At 45.4% G+C, this 19320-nt stretch overlaps 1 pseudogene, besides 2 other annotated features; it reads left to right on the top strand.

Moving 5' to 3' along the window:
* On the top strand, nt 3373-3630 carry RN7SL198P (RNA, 7SL, cytoplasmic 198, pseudogene; annotated as a pseudogene).
* Nucleotides 7738-8238: an enhancer, noted in NCBI's record as "H3K4me1 hESC enhancer chr10:12365523-12366023 (GRCh37/hg19 assembly coordinates)". NCBI's record gives its function as "activates a minimal SCP1, AML or CMV promoter by ChIP-STARR-seq in primed H9 embryonic stem cells {active_cell/tissue: H9 hESC(primed)}" and the evidence as "EXISTENCE:reporter gene assay evidence [ECO:0000049][PMID:30033119]".
* Nucleotides 8239-8739: an enhancer, noted in NCBI's record as "H3K4me1 hESC enhancer chr10:12365022-12365522 (GRCh37/hg19 assembly coordinates)". NCBI's record gives its function as "activates a minimal SCP1, AML or CMV promoter by ChIP-STARR-seq in naive H9 embryonic stem cells {active_cell/tissue: H9 hESC(naive)}" and the evidence as "EXISTENCE:reporter gene assay evidence [ECO:0000049][PMID:30033119]".

The raw sequence follows: 19320 nt of genomic DNA, 5'->3' as shown, positions 1-19320 counted from the left end.
AGATTACAGACGTGCGCCACCACGCCCCGCTAGTATTTGTATTTTTAGTAGAGATGGGGTTTCACCATATTGGTCAGGCTGGTCTCAAATTCTTGACCTCATGAACCGCCCACCTCGGCCTCCCAAAGTGCTGGGATTACAGGCATGAGCCACCTTGCCAGGCATATTTATTTATTTTTTGAGAGGGACTCTTGCTTTGTCGCCCAGGCTTGAGTGAAATGGCACGATCTCAGCTCACTGCAACCTCTGCCTCCCAGGTTTAAGCAATTCTCCTGCCTCAGCCTCCCGAGTAGCTGAGATTACAGGCGTGTGCCACCATGTTCAGCTAATTTTTTTGCATTTTTAGTAGAGATGGGGTTTCACCATGTTGGCCAGGATGGTCTTGAACTCCTGACCTCAGGTGATCCACCTACCTCGGCCTCCCAAATCAACACTTTATTTTAAAATAGGCTTTGGGTGAGATGATTTTGCCCAACTATAGGCTAATGTAAGCGTTCTGAGCACATGTAAGGTAGGCCAGACTAAGATGTGATGTTGGGTGGGTTAGTTATACTAAATGCATTCTCAGCCGGGCATGGTGGCTCACGCCTGTAATCCCAGCATTTTGGGAAGCCAGGGTGGGCAGATCATTTGAGGTCAGGAGTTCAAGACCAGGTTGGTCAACATGGTGAAACCCTGTCTCTACTAAAACTAAAAAAATTGGTCAGGCGTGGTGGCTCACGCATGTAATCCCAGCATTTTGGGAGGCTGAGGCGGGCAGATCACCTGAGGTCAGGAGTTTGAGGCCAGCCTAGCCAACATGGTGAAACCCCGTTTTTACTAAAAATACAAAAATTAGCTGGGGGTGGTGGTGTGTGCCTGTAATCCCAGCTACTCAGGAGGCTGAGGCAGGAGAATCGCTTGAAGCCAGGAGGCAGAGGTTACAGTGAGCTGAGATAGCACCATTGCACTCCAGCCTGGGCCAGAGGGTGACACTCCATCTCAAAAAAAAAAAAAAAAAAAAAAAAAAAAAAAAAAGCCAGGCATAATGGCGCACACCTGTAATCCCAGCGACTCAGGAGGTTGAAGCAGGAGAATCACTTGAACCCGGGAGGTGCAGGTTGCAGTAAGCAGATGCACTCCAGCTGGGCGACAGAGAGAGCCTCTGTCTCAAATAAATAATTAATTAAAGAAATAAAGGCATTTTCAACTTAACATAATTTTCAACTTACAATGGTTTGTCAGGACAGAACCCAATCATATAAGTCAGAGAGCATCTGTATTTACTTTGCCAGGTTGTTTTAAGAACATTAGACAGTGAGTGACTGTAAAATACCTAAACCAAAGGCAGTCAATAAATAGTAGCTACTGTTGTTGTCAGGAATTTTCACTTGAAAAACAAGATGACTTGATCAGTTTTATTTGAGCATGAAATAAAAGCATACTTCGGTTACTCAGTTGTTCTGATTATAAAATTATGGTAATTCTTGGCCAGGCATGGTGGCTCACACCTGTAATTCCAGCACTGTGGGAGATCAAGGTGGGAGGATTGCTTGAGGCCAAGAGTGATACCAGCCTGGGCAATGTGACAAAACCCCATCTCTACCAAAAATACAAAAAAATAACTGAGCATGATGGTATGTGCCTTGGTCCCAGCTACTGGGGAGGCTGATGTGGGAGGATTGCTTGAGCCTGGGAGGTCAAGGCTGCAGTGAGCCATCATGGTGCCACTGCACTCCTGCCTGGGTGACAGAGTGAGACCCCCATCTCAAAAAGAAAAAAAAAATTATGGTAATTCTTTATCTAAAAAGCTGCAGAAGAATACAGAATGAGTCAGTCAGCACCCCAGCTTCTATGGCTTAAGGTAAATCACCTTACCATTTCTAAATCACTCCTTGGTTAAAAAAAAAAAAAAAAATGTACCAGTGGCAATGTTTGCTAGAGCATTTATTAAAATAATTTTGGTCAAAGGAAATACCAAAGTTTATCATTAAGATTCCACAGTGACTCTGAATTCCATTTTGAACATCCTTCTTTGATCTCCTTTGGAAATAGCCTGAGTTTTTCCCTTGGGAGGCAAAGGAATCAATTTTTGTTAATCTTGTTTATACTATAGAGGATGCCAAATTTCAAGCACCGAAAGATACTTCTGAAATGGGCCTGAACACAGTGTCAAGGTTTGACAATAGACACATTTCACCATTTTCACTGACGTCAGCTGACAAAGAAGCTGGCATTATCTCTAATAGCCCAAAACTGGAAACAGCCCAAGTGCCCAAACAGTCAAGACTGTTTCCATAAAGAAATGGAATATCAGCCTTTCACTGAAGATAAAGATCCTGTTCAAAATCATATCAAGGGGCCGAACGCGGTGGTTCTCGCCTGTAACCCCAGCACTTTGGGAGGCCTAGGCAGGCGGATCACCTGAGGTCAGGAGTTCAAGACCAGCCTGGCCAACATGGCAAAACCTCGTCTCTACTAAAATATACAAAAATTAGCCGGGTGTGGTGGCACATGCCTGTAATTCCAGCTAATCAGGAGGCAGAGGCGGGAGAATTGCTTGAACCTGGGAGGTGGAGGTTGCAGTGAGCCGAAATTGTGCAACTGCATTCCAACCTGGGTGGCAGAGCAAGACTCTGTCTCAAAAAAAAAATCATATCAAGTAAAAAATTAAAATGAAGTAAGAATGATTGTATTAATCTAACAACCAGGTTTAGAAACTAACAAAGGGAAACAGGATCTTCTGCACAGTAGATGCTGATATGAAGATTTGATCTTGATCCCCAAGAGTGCAGTTTTCTGATATGGTTTTATCTTTAAATACATGTTGGGATTTTTTTGTTTTGTTTTTTGTTTTTGGGGTTTTTTTTTTTTTTAGCTGTATCTGCCAAGCCTTGGGGCATCACCATTCTGGAACCACCTTAGTCCAAGTTCAAAGCTTGGTTTAAAAAAAAAAGTTTCAGCCGTGCACAGTGGCTCACGCCTGTAATCCCAGCACTTTGGGAGGCCAAGGTGGGCGGATCACGAGGTCAGGAGATGGAGACCATCCTGGCTAACACGGTGAAACCCCACCTCTACTAAAAATACAAAAAACAGCCGGGCTTGGTGGTGGGCGCCTGTAGTCCCAGCTACTCAGGAGACTGAGGCAGGAGAATGGCGTGAACCCGGGAGACCGAGCTTGCAGAGAACCGAGATAGCACCACTGCACTCCAGCCTGGGTGACAGTGCAAACTCTGTCTCAAAAAAAAAAAGTTTCAGACCGGGCACAGTGACTCATACCTGTAATCCCAGCACTTTGGGAGGCCAAGATGGGTGGATCACCTGAGGTCAGGAGTTTGAGACCAGCCTGGGCAACATGGCGAAGCCCCATCTCTACTAAAATATAAAAAATCAGCTGGGTGTGGTGACGCTCACCTGTAATCCCAGCTGCTCAGGAGGCTGAGGCAGGAGAATCACTTGGAGCAGGGAGGTGGAGGTTGCAGTGAGCTGAGATGGCACCAGTGCACTCCAGCCTGGGGACAGAGTGAGTCTCAAAAAAAAAAAAAATGTTTCAGAGACAAAATCTTGCTGTCACCCAGGCTGGAGTGTAGTGGTGCCATCACAGCTCACTGTAGCCTTGAACTCCTGGGCTCAAGGGATCCACCTGCCTCAGCCTTCTGAGTAGCTGGGGCTACTGGTGCATGCCACCATGCCCAGTTAATTTTTTTAAAATTATTTTTGTAGAGATGGGGGTCTCACTATGTTGCCCAGGCTTGTCTCAGACTCCTGGCCTCAAGTGATCCTACAACAGCCTCCCAGAATGCTTGGAATACAGGCATGAGCGCCTGTACCCAGCCTACATACATGTATCCTGGGTAAGTACTTGATTATCTTTACAAAGTAACCCTTCCTATAGTCCATGTTGATTGAGCATCTACTATGTATCAGGCATTGTTGGGGAAATACCAGTGAAGTGACATTCTTTTGGAGTTGACATTCTAGTGTGGGACATAAACAATAAACAAACCTGTGAGTACACCCCTTTACAAAAAACAATGTTCACTTTTAAATTGCACAGCCACACAGTCAAGTAGGTAGGGTTTACTGTGTGCATCAGATAGATGAGGAAACAAACTTGGCTGACATCAGCCAGCTGGAAGTGATAGACACACCTAGGATTTGAACCTAGGTCACCTGGTACTTTTCCCTTTGCCAATAGCAGGTTAAGTAATTTAGATCAACCCTCCTACGAAAGACAACTTAAAAGCTGGCTGAAAGATTTGTTTAGTTTTCTTAAGAGCATCAAAATGATAATAAGGTAGCGAAGAAACATCTGCCAAAATCAAGGCCAGGACAAACCCAGAAGTGGTTTGCCCAGCCCACAGAGCTTTTATTCTAAGGCATTTGTCAATCTGGAAAAAAAGAAAAAAAAAAAAAACAGCTTTGAAAATGAGCTATTCTTTCCATAGTCTCACAGGCTTTGAACACAATTCAGAGCCCAGGACCTGCCAAGGCTGGGGATCCAGATACACCACTCCCCATGTCAAGCAAGCTCCTCAGGGTTGGGGAGAAGGGCAAGTATGCAGCCCTCAGGCTCACAGTCAAGTTCAGATCGTCTGGGCGGTCCGGGAGTCTCAAACTTTGAACTTGGATTAAGGTGGTTCCAGACTGGTGGTGCCTCAAGGCCTGGCAGACACAGCTAAAAACCTCTCTGGAAGACTCCACCATTATTCATATATATATATTCATACATATGCAGTGGCCGATACCACCTAAGAGAATTCAGGCACTCAGGAAAGCAGGACATCACAGCCCAGCGTGGTAGCTCAAGCCTGTAATCCCAGCACTTTGGGAGGCTGAGGCAGGTGGATCACTTGAGGCCAGGAGTTCGAGACCACCCTGGCCAACATGGCGAAACCCCGTCTCTACTAAAAATACAAAATTAGCTGGGTGTGGTGGCACGCACCTGTAATCCCAACTACTCAGGAGGCTGAGGTAGGAGGATTGCTTGAGCCAGGGAGGTGGAGGTTGCAGTGAGCAGAGATCACACTACTGTACTCCAGCCTGGATGACAGAGCAAGATTCCGTCACAAAAAAAAAAAAGAGAGAAAAAAGAAAACAAGGCATTAAGAGCTAGGATGGCAGGAACAGCCAAGAGTGCAAACGAACTCGCAGAGACTTTAGAAATGAGAATTCTCAGACACAGGCCATAAAACAACTCTGTTTACCGCCTTCAGAAACATAAAAGCTACTCTTGACAATTATAGCAACAGGAAACTATAGAAAATGACATAAAAGATCTTTTAAATGGCCAACTAGAAATTCTCAAACTGAAAAATACAGTCATTGAAGTTAAAAAGCCAACGGCTGACTTCATAGCAGATCATCTCGGCTGAAGTGAGAATTAGTGAACCAGAAGACAGGTCAGAAAAAACTATACAGAATTCAGCTTGAAAAGAAAAAAAACAAAGGAAAATATGAAAAGGAGAGTGTGTTAAAAAGATCTAACATACATTTAATTGACATACAGAAAGAAAGAAGAATGAGATACTGGAGCAAAGCCAATGTTTGGAGAAATAATAGCCAGGAATTCTCCAGAGCTGACGGCAGACATCAACTCACAGTTTTTAAGAGCCCAGCAAATCCCAAGCAACATAAATTTGTAAAAGTCCACACTTAGGTACGATGCAAAAAACTGAAGACAGGCCGGGGGCCGTGGCTCATGACTGTAATCCCAGCACTTTGGGTGTCCAAGCAGGGCGGATCACAAGGTCAGGAGATCAAGACCATACTGGCCAATATGGTGAAACCCCGTCTCTACTGAAAATACAAAAATTAGCCAGGCGTGGTGGCACATACCTGTAGTCCCAACTACTTGGGAGGCTGAGGCAGGAGAATCGCTTGAACCCGGGAGGCAGAGGTTGTGGTGAGCCAAGATCATGCCACTGCACTCCAGCCTGGTGACAGAGCAAAACTCCATCTCAAAAAAAGTAAATAAAGTAAAAAACAAAAAAAAAAAACAGTCCAAGATACTTAATCCAAACTATATCATCATTCTTCATTAGAATCTAGAACATTTCTTTTTTTTTTTTTTTTTTTTTTTGAGACAGAGTGTTGCTCTGTCACCAGGCTGGAGTACAGTGGCACAATCTCAGCTCACTGCAACCTCTGCCTCCTGGGTTCCAGCGATTCTCCTGCCTCAGCCTCCCAAGTAGCTAGCTGGGATTACAGGTACATGCCACCTTACCTGGCCAATGTTTTTCTTTCTTTCTTTTTTTTGAGATGGAGTTTTGCTCTTTTTGCCCAGGCTGGAGTGCAATGGCGCAATCTCGGCTCACTGCATCCTACTCCTCCCGGGTTCAAGCGATTCTCCTGCCTCAGCCTCCCGAGTAGCTGAGATTACAGGGATGCGCCACCATGCCCAGCTAATTTTGTATTTTTTTAGTAGAGATGGGGTTTTTCCATGTTGGTCAGATTGGTCTTGAACTCCTGACCTCAGGTGATCCACCCACCTTGGCCTCCCAAAGTGCTGGGATTGCAGGTGTGAGCCACTGCGCCCGGCCGACATTTAGTTTTTACACTGTTCATTATGGGTGCTCCAAATCGCAGGGACTATGTTTCACTCATCACATGTGCCTAGCATGGGAACGAGGGCCTGGATTATAATCGGAATTCATACATTATTTTGTGAGTGAATGAATTAGAAGACAAAGCAAGGCAATTCTACCAGGCACACACCAGAAATACTGACTTACTGGGAAGGTTTCAGACAGACAGAATGACAGTCTAACTCCCTGGGGAGAAATGCTTCATCTTCCTTCTTTTATTGTCTCCCATTATACATTATCTACTGCAGTTTCTTTCTTTCTTATTTTTCTTTTTTAGAGTCTGGGTCTCACACTATCGCCCAGGCTGGAGTGCAGTGGCATGATCACAGCTCACTGCAGCCTCAACCTCCTGAGATCAAAGGATCCTCCCACTTCAGCCTGCCAATTAGCTGGGTCTATAGGCACCCACCACCATGCCTGGCTAACTTCTGTATTTTTTTTAAGAGATGGGGTCTAGCTATATTGCCCAGGCTGGACTTGAACTCCTAGGCTCAAGTAATCCTCCTGCTTCAGCCTCCTAAGTAGCCAGGACTACAAGTGTGTGCCACCATGCCCAACCTGCAGCTTTTTCTGCAACTACATAGATTTTTTGGCCAGGCGCACTGGCTCACACCTATAATCCCAGAACACTGGGAGGCTGAGGCAGGCGGATCACTTGAGGTCAGGAGTTCGAGACCAGCCTGGCCAACATGGTGAAACCCAGTCTCTACTAAAAAATACAAAAATTAGCTGGGCAAGAAGGTGGGAGCCTGTAGTCCCAGCTACTTGGGAGGCTGAGGCAGGAGAATCGCTTGAATCCGAGAGGTGGAGGTTGCGGTGAGCTGAGATATTGCCACTGCACTCCAGCCTGGATGCAAGGGTGAGAGTCAGTCTCAAAAAAATAAATAAATTGGCCGGGCACAGTGGCTCACACCTGTAATCCCAGCACTTCGAGAGGAGGCCAAGGTGGGCGGATCATGAGGTCAGGAGATAGAGACCATCCTGGCTAACATGGTGAAACCCCATCTCTACTAAAAATACCAAAAAAAAAAAAAAAAAAATTAGCTGGGCGTGGTGGTGTGCGCCTGTAATCCCAGCTACTAAGGAGGCTGAGGCAGGAGAATTGCTTGAACCTGGGAGGCAGAGGTTGCAGTGAGCTGAGATTGTGCCACTGCACTCCAGCTGGGGCAATAGAGCGAGACTCCGTCTATAAATAAATAAATAAATAGCCCCCTTTGTGGGGGGGGGGGGGTTCTGATAGGCCCTTTCCAGAAGCAGTCCATGCATGGGGGGGCAGGAAGGGGGATGCTCTCTTAAATGTTCTGCAATTGCGCCCCCCCCAGTCAGAAGCAGAAGTGGAGTTTATACAACAGATCCCTAGGCTCTGGCCTTATGCAAAGCACGCTTCACCACCACCGCAGATCCTGCTAGTTACTTAGAAGCCAAGCAGCAGGCTGGGCATCAGGGCTCACGCCTGGAATCCCAGCACTGTGGGAGGCCGAGGCGGTCGGATCATTTGAGTTCAGGAGTTGGAGACCAGCCTGGCCAACATGGTGAAACCCCGTCTCTACTAAAAATACAAAAATTAGCCAGGCGTGGTGGTGTGCACCTGTAATCCCAGCTACTTGGGAGGCTGAGGCAGGAGAATTGCTTGAACCCAGGAGGTTGCAGTGAGCCGAGATTGGGCCACTGCATTCCAGCCTGGGCGACAGAGTGAGACTCTGTCTCAAAAAAAAAAAAAACCATGCGGCAGGCCCTGAAACCTCTCTATGGCAAAGCAGCTCCCACGGCATGCTAATTAGCAATGGAAACACAGCCACTCAAAGCAGCTTTATGGCCGATCTGAGCTGACAACGGAAGGACGCCCACAGGCTGTCACTCGAAATCCCTTGTTCTTATCAGCCTCGTCTTTCTCCCCAATATCCTTGACAGTTGCGTTCTGCCCCAAATACCAGCCTGTGGCCCCATCTGATGTCCCCTGTCATCCCGGGAGCTTTAGAAGAAGCATCATGCTCTATACATGAAATGACACACAGAAGTCACTCCTTTAATTGGGGGCCCTTTGCAGTTTCTGAGGAGTGTTCACAAGGTAGAAAGCCTGCAGTTATGAAAGCCTGGGTGTGTGGCCTCAAGTGGATTTGGGAGCTAGAGGGAAGTGACTTCCTCTCCGTCTGAGCAGTTATATAAATCTCCCCTGAACTCATTGGCTGCAGCCCTCCGGAGGAGCACGACACAGTTACCCACCTACATGATTAATCAGTGCCCGGGAAGAACAACAGCCACCCCACTTTGTCTTCACATGTTCAAGTGACTTTGCTGCCACATCACTGTCAGTGGACCACGTGCTTTGGTTGGCTTTGCCGACTGTGGAAATGAATTTACACCAATTTGTCCACCCGCACCCTCAGTCGGCTTTCTGTCCTTGTGACTAGTGGCTGACATTTAGAGGATGTCTGGCTGTTGGCTGCAGCCACAGAAAAGATCAAAGCTCCCTGGCAGAGACCTATCCAAACATGTTCTAACGGGCAGAGGACACAGGGCAGGTAGACCCTGCCATGGAGCCAAATGACAGAATTTGGCAATTCTGTAATTCCTCTGAACTCAAATAACCAGAAGTCACAGATTGGCAGTCCACGAGTTCACTCCCTGCTATATATACACACAACTTGTTTGGCCACAGTGGTTTTTTGTTTTAAGTTACCGACTTTTTTTTTTTTTTTTTTGAGACAGAGTCTCACTCTGTCACCCAGGTTGGGGTGCAGTGGCACAATCTCAGCTCACTGCAACCTCCACCTCCTGGGTTCAAGTGATTCCCCTGCCTCAGCCTCCCAAGTAACTGGGATTGCAGGCACGTGCCACCATGCCCAGCTAATTTTTGTATTTGTAGTAAAGATGGGGTTTCACTATGTTGCCCAGGCTGGTCTTGAACTCCAGACCTCAAATGATCCACATGCCTCAGTCTCCCAAAGTGCTGGGATTACAGTGTGAGCCACCGTGCCTGGCTGTAAGTTACCAACATTTAAAATGTCAGAGATTTCATACAAAAATCTGGACTCCTCCTGCTCTGGAAAAACCAAAAGCCCTAGAAACACTTCTGATTAGCTGTCATCACTTGAGGCCAAATGATCCAACTTAACTTAGGCCAGGGCATGTTGGGTACCAGAGTTCCACCAAGGGCAAAGATAGGTTTTATCGGGCCTGAAGCTTATATTAGTTGGAGTGACTTCTCTAAGTAAAATAAATTGAAATTATAAATACAGAATTGCTAGGGTCCCTCCAGAGGCCTGAGCAAGTAAGGGCTCAGGAAGCTTAAATATCATGTACTTCCACCTCTGGTCCCACCCACAGCTACTGTTTCACACCCGCCCAGTTTGCTACATGTCTGGCCATGCAGGTATCTGAGTCTGTGACCTCTTGCCTATACCTTGTGGCCACCCACACCTGTCACCATTCTTAGGTCCTGGCCCTGATGTTCAGTATAAACACAGCTGGCCCCAGCTCTGTAAGGAAGGCCTCACTCTTCCTCAAACTCCATAACTAAAATGAAAGATTATTTCATTTTATTATTTTTTTTAATTTTTTTTTTTTTAAGACAGAGTCTTGCTCTGTCTTCCAGGCTGGAGTGCAGTGGTGCAATCTCAGCTCACTGCAACTGCCATCTCCCAGGTTCAAGCAATTCTCCTGCCTCAGCCTCCCAAGTAGCTGGGACTACAGGCGCATGCCACCACGCCCAGCTAATTTTTGTATTTTTAGTGGAGACGGGGTTTCACCATGTTGGTCCAGCTGGTCGTGAACTCCTGACCTCAAGTGAACCGCCTGCCTCGGCCTCCCAAAGTGCTGGGATTACAGACGTAAGCCACCATGCCCGGCCGATTTCATTTATTTTAAAAGGTAATAAAAAGAAGTCTTTATCCTTTACAACTCCTTCCCTTGCTAGGTTAAAAGGACAAAAGAGTCCAAGCATCTGTGTAGAGTTCATATACCAGGTGACTCTTTTCGAGCACAGAGGTGTGTGAAAAGCAACAAAAGAAGGAGGGAGGATAATAAACATCTCCTAGGTCTACAGCTGAATTTCTGTTCAATCTGGGATGCTCACAGGCTCACTGAGATTACGCAAGGTCTGGTCCATTGGTCTCTAAATGGCTTTGTTTGGGGAGGGTGAGGGGAAACATGCAAAGAAAAAAAACAGTTTCCTAAACGCATAGAGGACCATGTTGCCACAAGTAGCTTAGAAATGGGCTAATCTGGTCAGGTGCAGTGGCTCACATCTGTAATTCCAGCACTTTGGGAGGCCAAGGTGGGTGGATCACGAGGTCAGGAATTCAAGACCATCCTGGCCAACATGGTGAAACCCCGTCTCTACTAAAAATACAAAAAAATTAGACGGGCATGGTGGCGGGCGCTTGTAATCCCAGCTATTCGGGAGGCTGAGGCAGAGAATTGCTTGAACCCGGGAGGCGGAGGTTGCAGTGAGCCAAGATCACGCCATTGCACTCCAGACTGGGCGACAGAGCGAGACTCCATCTCAAAAAAAAAGGATAATCTGCAGTATTTATTGAGCACCTGCAGTGTACTAACACTACTCTTATATATAAGCATCACACTAGACAAGGTGCTTGCAATCCAGTTGCAGAAACAGATGCCTTCAGAGAAAGTTAGATAACAGAGAATTATTTAATATAACAAAGGCTTGTAGGAATTCAGAGGCTTGACTGGGAAGATGTTCTCAGAGTAGAGAGGACTTGATTTGAACCCCTGGGGACCTGGATGGACAGGGAGAAGGACTGAGAAAATTCCAGATGGAAAGAACAGCACATGCAAAGGAGCAGAGGGGCAGGGCATGGTGGTTCCTGCCTGTAATCCCAGCACTTTGGGAGGCTGAGGCAGGCGGGTCACCTGAGGTCAGGAGTTTGAGACCAGCCTGCCCAAAATGGCGAAACCTCATCTCTCCTAAAAATACAAAAATTAGCCAGGCGTGGTTGTGCACACCTGTAATCCCAGCTACTTGGGAGGCTGAGGCAGGAGAATCACTCGAACTGGGGAGGTATAGGTGGCAGTGAGCCCAGCCCGGGCGAAAAGAGCAAGACTCCATCTCAAAAACAAAAACAAAAAAGGAGCAGAGGAGACTCAGAAGTGTTTAGGGAATCGGGAGGAGGCCAGCCTGTTATGGTAAATAACAGGAACGGGAAAGTAACCAGGGACCTGATCTCCAAGGAGCTTCAATTTTAGATGAAGGACTTTGCATTGTCTAGAATTATCTAGATAACAGGCTTTTGGATTGATTGATAATGGGCTTAGAGTCTGTATTAGAGAACAATAAATATAATAAAATTGCACTTAGGCAGTGCTTTTCAGTTTAGTGAAAATAAACGTTGCTACCTCTTCCTATTTGATTGTTATTTATGCTCTGCATTATACAATCCACGCTTATGGTAGAAATCTGGGCTAGGTGCAGTGGCTTATGCCTGTAATCCCAACAATTTGGGAGGCCAAGGCAGGAGGATCACTTGAGTCCAGGAATTCAAGACCAGTCTGGGCAACATAGTGAGATCCTGTCTCTATCAATATCAATATATAAAATATATATATTTTTAAATTAGTCAGATGTGGTGGCACACACCTGTACTCTCAACATCTTGAGATGAGAGAATTGCTTGAGCCCAGGAGTTCGAGGCTACAGTGAGCCATGATTGCACCATTGCATTCTATCATGGGTTACAGAGCAAGACCCTTTCTCAAAAAGGAAAGGAAAGGAAAGGGGAGGGGAAGGGAGGGGAGGAGAGGGAAGGGGAGGGGAGGGGAGGAGAGGGAAGGGGAGGGGAGGGGAGGGGAGGGGAGGGGAGGAGAGGGGAGGGGAGGAGAGGGAAGGGAACCAGTTAACATTTTGGCATATTTTCTTCCTGTTTCATTTTAAATATGTATTTATTTCAAAATAGAACCAGTGTATCTATTTTCACACAACACCATATTATGAAACTTTCCCCGTGACATGGAATATTCTTTGAAAACAAAATGTCTTGGTCTGTTCTGTGTTGCTATTACAGAAGACCTGAAGCTGGGTGATTTATCAAGAAAATACATGTATTTGGCTCATGATTCTGGTGGCTGGAAAATCCAAGATTGGGAAGGGGCATCAGGTGAGGGCCTCCACTCCAGGCAGAAAACAGGAGGGAAGTGGAGGTGTGCAAAGATCACATGGCAAGAAAGGAAGCAAAAAAGAAAAACTGGGGAAGCCAGACTTTTTTTTTTCAGGGTCTCACACTATTACCCAGGTTGGAGTGCAGTGGCATGATCACGGCTCACTGCAGCCTCCAACCCTTAAGCTTAAGCAATACTTACGCCTTAGCCTCCTGAGTAGCTGGAGCTACAGGCCCATGCCACCATGCCTGACTAATTTTTTAATTTTTATTTTTGTAGAGATGAGGTCTTGCTATGTTGCTCAAGCTGGTCTCAAACTCCTGGGCTCAAGCCATCCTCTTGCCTCAGCCTCCAAAGTGCTGGGATTGCAGGTGTGAGCCCTGTGTCCAGCCAGACTTTTTTTTTTTCTTTTTAACAATCTCTGTCTGCTCTGGAAGGAACTAATCTATTCCTGCCAGAGGAACTAATCTATTCCTGCCAGAGGGAGAACTCATTTACCCTTGCAGAAAAGCACTAATGTAATGTTTGTTTGTTTATTTATTGAGATGAAGTCTTGCTCTGTCGCCCAGGCTGGAGTGCAATGGCGCCATCTGAGCTCACTGCAAGCTCCGCCTCCCGGGTTCACACCATTCTCCTGCCTCAGCCTCCCGAGTAGCTGGGACTACAGGCGCCCACCACCACGCCTGGCTAATTTTTTGTATTTTTAGTAGAGACGGGGTTTCACCATGTTAGCCAGGATGGTCTCGATCTCCTGACCTCATGATCCGCCCGCCTCAGCCTCCCAAAGTGCTGGGATTACAAGAGTGAGCCACCGCGCCCAGCCGCAGAAGAGAGCTAATCTATTAATGAGGGAACTGTCCCCCTCCCAAACACCTCCTACTAGGCCCTACCTCCCAAAACAGCTACATTGGGTATCAAATTTCAACATGAGTCTGGCAGGGACAAACCACATCCAAACCATAGCACAAGATGTTTACCAGCCATATAATCTTCCATTTTCTTGATATATCATAATGTTGTTTATAATTGTTCTCTGTTGAATATTTGAGTTGCTTCCAATTGTTCATTATTACAAATGATGCTGCAATAAAATCCCAGGATATAAATATTGGTCTGCATCTCTCTGATGACTGTGTGATATGAAATTACTGGAGCAAAGGGCATAAATATTTTTAGGACTGTTGATATATATTGACAAATTGATTTTGAAAAATATTTTAGCAATTTACACCTTCATCAAATGTACATAAAAGGGCTTGTTTTCCTGCAAATGTAACCTAGAGTTAAATATTCTTCTTATCTTTACTAATTTGATGAGGGAAAACTAGAATCACAGAATTGCATTTAAATAATCATTTTGTTCCTTGTATGTGTGAATTCTTTAAAATATATTTTCCATTAATGTGTATTTCTAATGAATTATCTATATTTTTGCCTACTTTTTGCTTACTTTTCTCTTGGTGCAAGCATTCATTACATATATATGTATATATAATTTTTTTTTTTTTTTTTTTTTTTAGAGACAAGGTTTTACCCTGTTTCCCAGGCTGGAGTACATGGGTGCAATCATAACTCATAGCATCCTGGAACTCCTGGGCTCAAGTGGGCTCAAGTGATTCTCCCACAAGTAGTTAGGGCTAGAAGCATGTGTCACTACATCTGATGATTTTTTCATTTTTTGTAGAGACAGGATGCTGCTATGTTTCCCAGGCTGTTCTCAAACTTCTGGGCTCAAGCAATCCTCCTACCTGGGCCTCCCAAAGCACTGGGATTACAAATGTGAGCCACTGCACTGGCCTGTTTCATATATATATATATATATATATATATATATATATATATATATATATATATATTTTGTTGTTGTTGTTTGTTTGTTTGTTTTTGTTTTTGTTTTTTTTTTGAGACGGAGTCTCACTCTGTCCCCCAGGCTGGAGTGCAGTGGCGCGATCTCAGCTTGCTGCAAGCTCCACCTCCCGGGTTCACGCCATTCTTCTGCCTCAGCCTCCTGAGTAGTTGGGACTACAGGCGCCCGCCACCACGCCCGGCTAATTTTTTGTACTTTTAGTAGAGACGGGGTTTCACCATGTTAGCCAGGATGGTCTCGATCTCCTGACCTCGTGATCCGCCCGCCTCAGCCTCCCAAAGTGCTGGGATTACAGGCATGAGCCACCGCGCCCAGCTGTTTTATATTTTTAAAGCTCTTAATATATTTCATTGGTGTTTGTTGTAATATGTGTTTTAATTTTGCTTATGATATTTTGACCAAAAAATGTTTTACATTTTATATAATGTAATCTATGGGTCTTTCCCTTTTTAATTACTTCCATTTTTTAAAATGACATTGTCTACATAGGCCGAGCATGGTGGCCCATGCCTGTAATCTCACACTTTGGGAAGCTGAAGCAGACAGATCACTTGAGGTCAAGAGTTCGAGACCAGCCTGACCAACATTTCGAAACACGTCTCTACCAAAAATACAAAAATTAGCATGAAATTTGCTTGAACCCAGGAGGCGGGGATTGCAGTGAGCAGAGATGGGGCCACTGCACTCCAGCCTGGGCAACAGAGTGAGACTCTGTCTCAATAAATAAATAGGCCGGGCGTGGTGGCTCATGCCTGTAATCCCAGCACTTTGGGAGGCCGAGGCGGGTGGATCGCCTGAGGTCAGGAGTTCAAGACCAGCCTGGCCAACATGGCGAAACCCCGTCTCTATTAAAAATACAAAAATTAGCCGGGTGTGGTGGCACACACCTGTAATCCCAGCTACTGGGGAGGCTGAGGCAGGAGAATCGCTTGAATCTGGGAGGTGGAGGTTGCAGTGGGCCAAGATCACACCACTGCACTCCAGCCTGGGTGACAGAGCAAGACACCATCTCGAAAAATAAATAAATAAATAATAAATTACAATGTCCTGTTTGACTCTGAGATCATTTAGATCTTCTTTTGGATTTTTTTTAATGGTTTTGTTACTGCATCTTACTCTTCATCCATCTTGAATTCATTTTGACATGGTTTGATCTCTGATGGTGAAGGTAAACATAACTTGAGACCTCTCTCAGATATTTCATTCTCTTACCATCATTAATTAAATAATTCATCCCTTTAGCAATGGTTTGTAAAACGCCTTTATCATAAACTCTTATTACGTGTTCTGGGATCTGCTTATGGTGGTCTTCTGTGTTCTATTCATCCATATTCTACTATTTTTACCAATAACACACTGCTTCAATTACTGTAATCTTACATACACCTATAGAACTTTTCATTGTTTCAAAGATCTTTCATGCATGTATGCATGTACCTTTTTTTTTTTTTTTGAGACAGAGTCTCACTCTGTTGCCCAGGCTGGAATGCAGCAGTGTGATCTCAGCCCACTGCAACCTCAGCCTCCCAGGTTCAAGCCATTCTCATGCCTCAGCCTCTCAAGTATCTGGGATTACAGGTATGCACCACCGCACCTAATTTTTTTTTTTTTTTTTTTTTTTGGTAGAGATAGGGTTTCCCCATGTTACCCAGGCTGGTCTCAAACTCCTAGCCTCAAGTGATCCACCCCTCTCAGCCTCCCAAAATGCTGGGATTACAGGCATAAGCCACAGCACCTGGCCTCATGCATACACTATATATATTTTTTTTTTTTGAGACGGAACCTCACTCTGTCACCAGGCTGGAGTGCAATCTTGGCTCGCTGCAACCTCTGCCTCCGGGTTCAAGCAATTCTGCCTCAGCCTCCAAAGCAGCTGGGACTACAGGCACATGCCACCATGCCTGACTAATTTGTGTATTTTTAGTAGAGACGGGGTTTCACTATGTTGGCCAGGATGGTGTCGATCTCTTGACCTCATGATCTACCCACCTCGGCCTCCCAAAGCGCTGGGATTACAGGCGTGAGCCACTGCGCCCAGCCTTACGTGTACTTTTATACATTATTCCATGTAAAAATATAGATCATTCATTTCTCTCATTTCTTTTGTCCCACTTATTACTCATGTAAAAGCAAATGTTCTCAGAAACATATGTCTGGACTAAATCTAAGAAAAGGATTTTGCAATTCTGGGCCTCTTCTTGGGTGCAAAAAAAACAAACAAACAAAATAAAAAGCGTGGTCTGGTTTTTAAAATGAAACACTACTAAATTGAAGAAACCAAAACAAAACAGTAGTGAAATCTGAGCATAAGCTTGTTTCATTTATTTTTTTTTTAATTGAGAAAGGGTGTGTTAATTTCTTTTTTTTTTTTTTTTTTTTTTTTTTTTGAGATGGAGTCTCACTCTGCCCCCAGGCTGGAGTGCAGTGGCGCAATCTCAGCTCACTGCAACCTCTGCCTCCTGGGTTCATGCGATTCTCCTGCCTCAGCCTCCCAAGTAGCTGGGACTATAGGTGCATGCCACCATGCCCAGCTAATTTTTGCATTTTTAGCAGAGACAGAGTTTCACTATGTTGGCCAGGCTATTCTCGAACTCCTAACCTCATGATCCGCCTGCTCGGCCTCCCAAAGTGCTAGGATTACAGGCATGAGCCACCGCACCCAGCCCACTTACTCTATTCTTTAGGAGTGACACATGAATCAACGATGGAGTCCACACTGAATGTCATCTACTGGGGCTCATGTTCCCAGAAAGAGGGTCTGTAGTGGCAGGTACCTATCACCAATGCAGCTCCCTCAGTATGGGGTCAACTGTCAAGGACTTAGGGAAGTCTGCTTCATCCAAGTATAAACCTTTGCAAATCAGCTTGACTTGGAGCCTTTGCCATCAGCACAAGCCACATCATAGCTGAGTGCAACAGCCTAACTGATCAGAACATGGTGGCCAGGAGGCCTGGGTGGTTGACTGTCCTTCTACTCTAACAGTCTTCCTTGCTTTCCTTACTCAGTTATCCTTGGGAAATGAGTATCCTGGTTCACAAGCAATCTCTAGGCAAGCTGTGCGTCAAGAAAACCCACCGCCATCACTAGAAAACAACTAGAAGTGTTCATCCTCTTAGGAAGAGGCAAGTCGGTCCACCTCACCATCAGTGAATGGCACATGACCATCAATCAGCACAGGCTTGTTGAATGAATGCGTGCATGAATGAATGACACTGGTCTAGGCTGTCTTTCACATGTCTTCATTCTTGTCAAAGACAGCCTAGACCACGCCCTAGGCTAAATAATAGTCAATATCAGGTCATGATCTTAGCCATTTGGAAATTTTTACATGGCCTGAACATGTGTGTAATTTCTTTTTCTTTTCTTTTCTTTTTTTTTTTTTTGAGATGGAGTCTCGCTTTGTCACCCAGGCTGGAGTGCAATGGCATGATCTCAGCTCACTGCAGCTTCCACCTCCCCAGTTCAAGCGATTCTCCCGCCTCAGCCTCTTGAGTAGCTGGGATTACAGGTGCCCACCACCATGTCTGGCTGATTTTTGTATTTTTAGTAGAGATGGGGTTTTGCCATGTTGGCCAGGCTGGTCTCAAACTCCTGACCTCAGGTGATCCGCCTGCCTCAGCCTCCCAAAGTTCTAGGATTATAGGCATGAGCCACTGTGCCCAGCCTGTAATTTCTTTTCTCTATCTTGAACAACTCAAAAGAATGTTAAAAAAAGAAAAAAAAAAAAAAGATATATGTGCCAAGCAAGCCGCATCACGTCCAAGTCTTCTTGGAGCTAGAGAGACAGCTTTGTGTGTTTTTCTGCAGATGGGTAAATAAGAATGAGATGAAGGAGAGAGAGGGGCCTGTTGATGGGAACAAGTATCAGATGCCCCCATTAAAAACAAGCGCTGGTGGCCAGGCGTGGTGGCTCACGCCTGTAATCCCAGCACTTTGGGAGGCCGAGGCGGGTGTATCACCTGAGGTCAGGAGTTCGAGACCATCCTGGCCAACATGGTGAAACCCCGTCTCTACTAAAAATACAAAAATTAGACAGGTGTGGTGGCAGGCACCTGTAATCCCAGCTACTCGAGAGGTTGAGGCAGGAGAATCACTTGAACCCAGGAAGCAGAGGTTGCAGTGAGCCGAGGATGCGAGACTGCACTCCAGCCTGACGACAGAGCGAGACTGCACCTAAAAACAAAAACAAAAACAAGCGCTGGCCCAGGAAGGCACACAGCCATCTGATTTCCTCTGCATTTTCTTTGGACTGTGTTTTCACAGAAATTGATGTTTCTGAAGAATATCTTGCCTGGAGCAGCTCATCTTTTCCAGAAATGGCCATGAAAAAAAAAGGGGGTCCTGAGCAAGGGAACACTCTTTGTGTTGCAATTAGTTGGGGTTTCTTTGGTTCACAGTGACATCCTCCCTTCTCTCTATACACACAATAAATACATGCACCCACCGTGGCAAGCCAGGTGTCGGCCGCTGCTAAAGTGTGGCAGGTATAGGCATGAAAATTTTCTGAAACAAATCAAACCTCATTAAATCAGAAGGAAGACTGATCATAATTGGAGAAAATCATCATCTCAGCATTTTAAAAAGGAGGATGACAATCTGGCCTAACAGAAAGCTGCCTCATAGAGGTGTCCATGGGGACAACATTAATAAACTGGGAATAAGACACATACTTAATAGGGATTGTTGTCTGGAAAGAAATGCATGTTACCAAGGCACTGAAAACTCCCCCAAAACAGTAAAGTCTCCAACATCTTTGTTTATTGTATTCA

Source organism: Homo sapiens, chromosome 10 (assembly GCF_000001405.40).
Source record: "Homo sapiens chromosome 10, GRCh38.p14 Primary Assembly".
In the NCBI taxonomy this organism is placed as follows: domain Eukaryota; kingdom Metazoa; phylum Chordata; class Mammalia; order Primates; family Hominidae; genus Homo; species Homo sapiens.
This window is presented reverse-complemented; position numbering and strand designations above follow the sequence as displayed.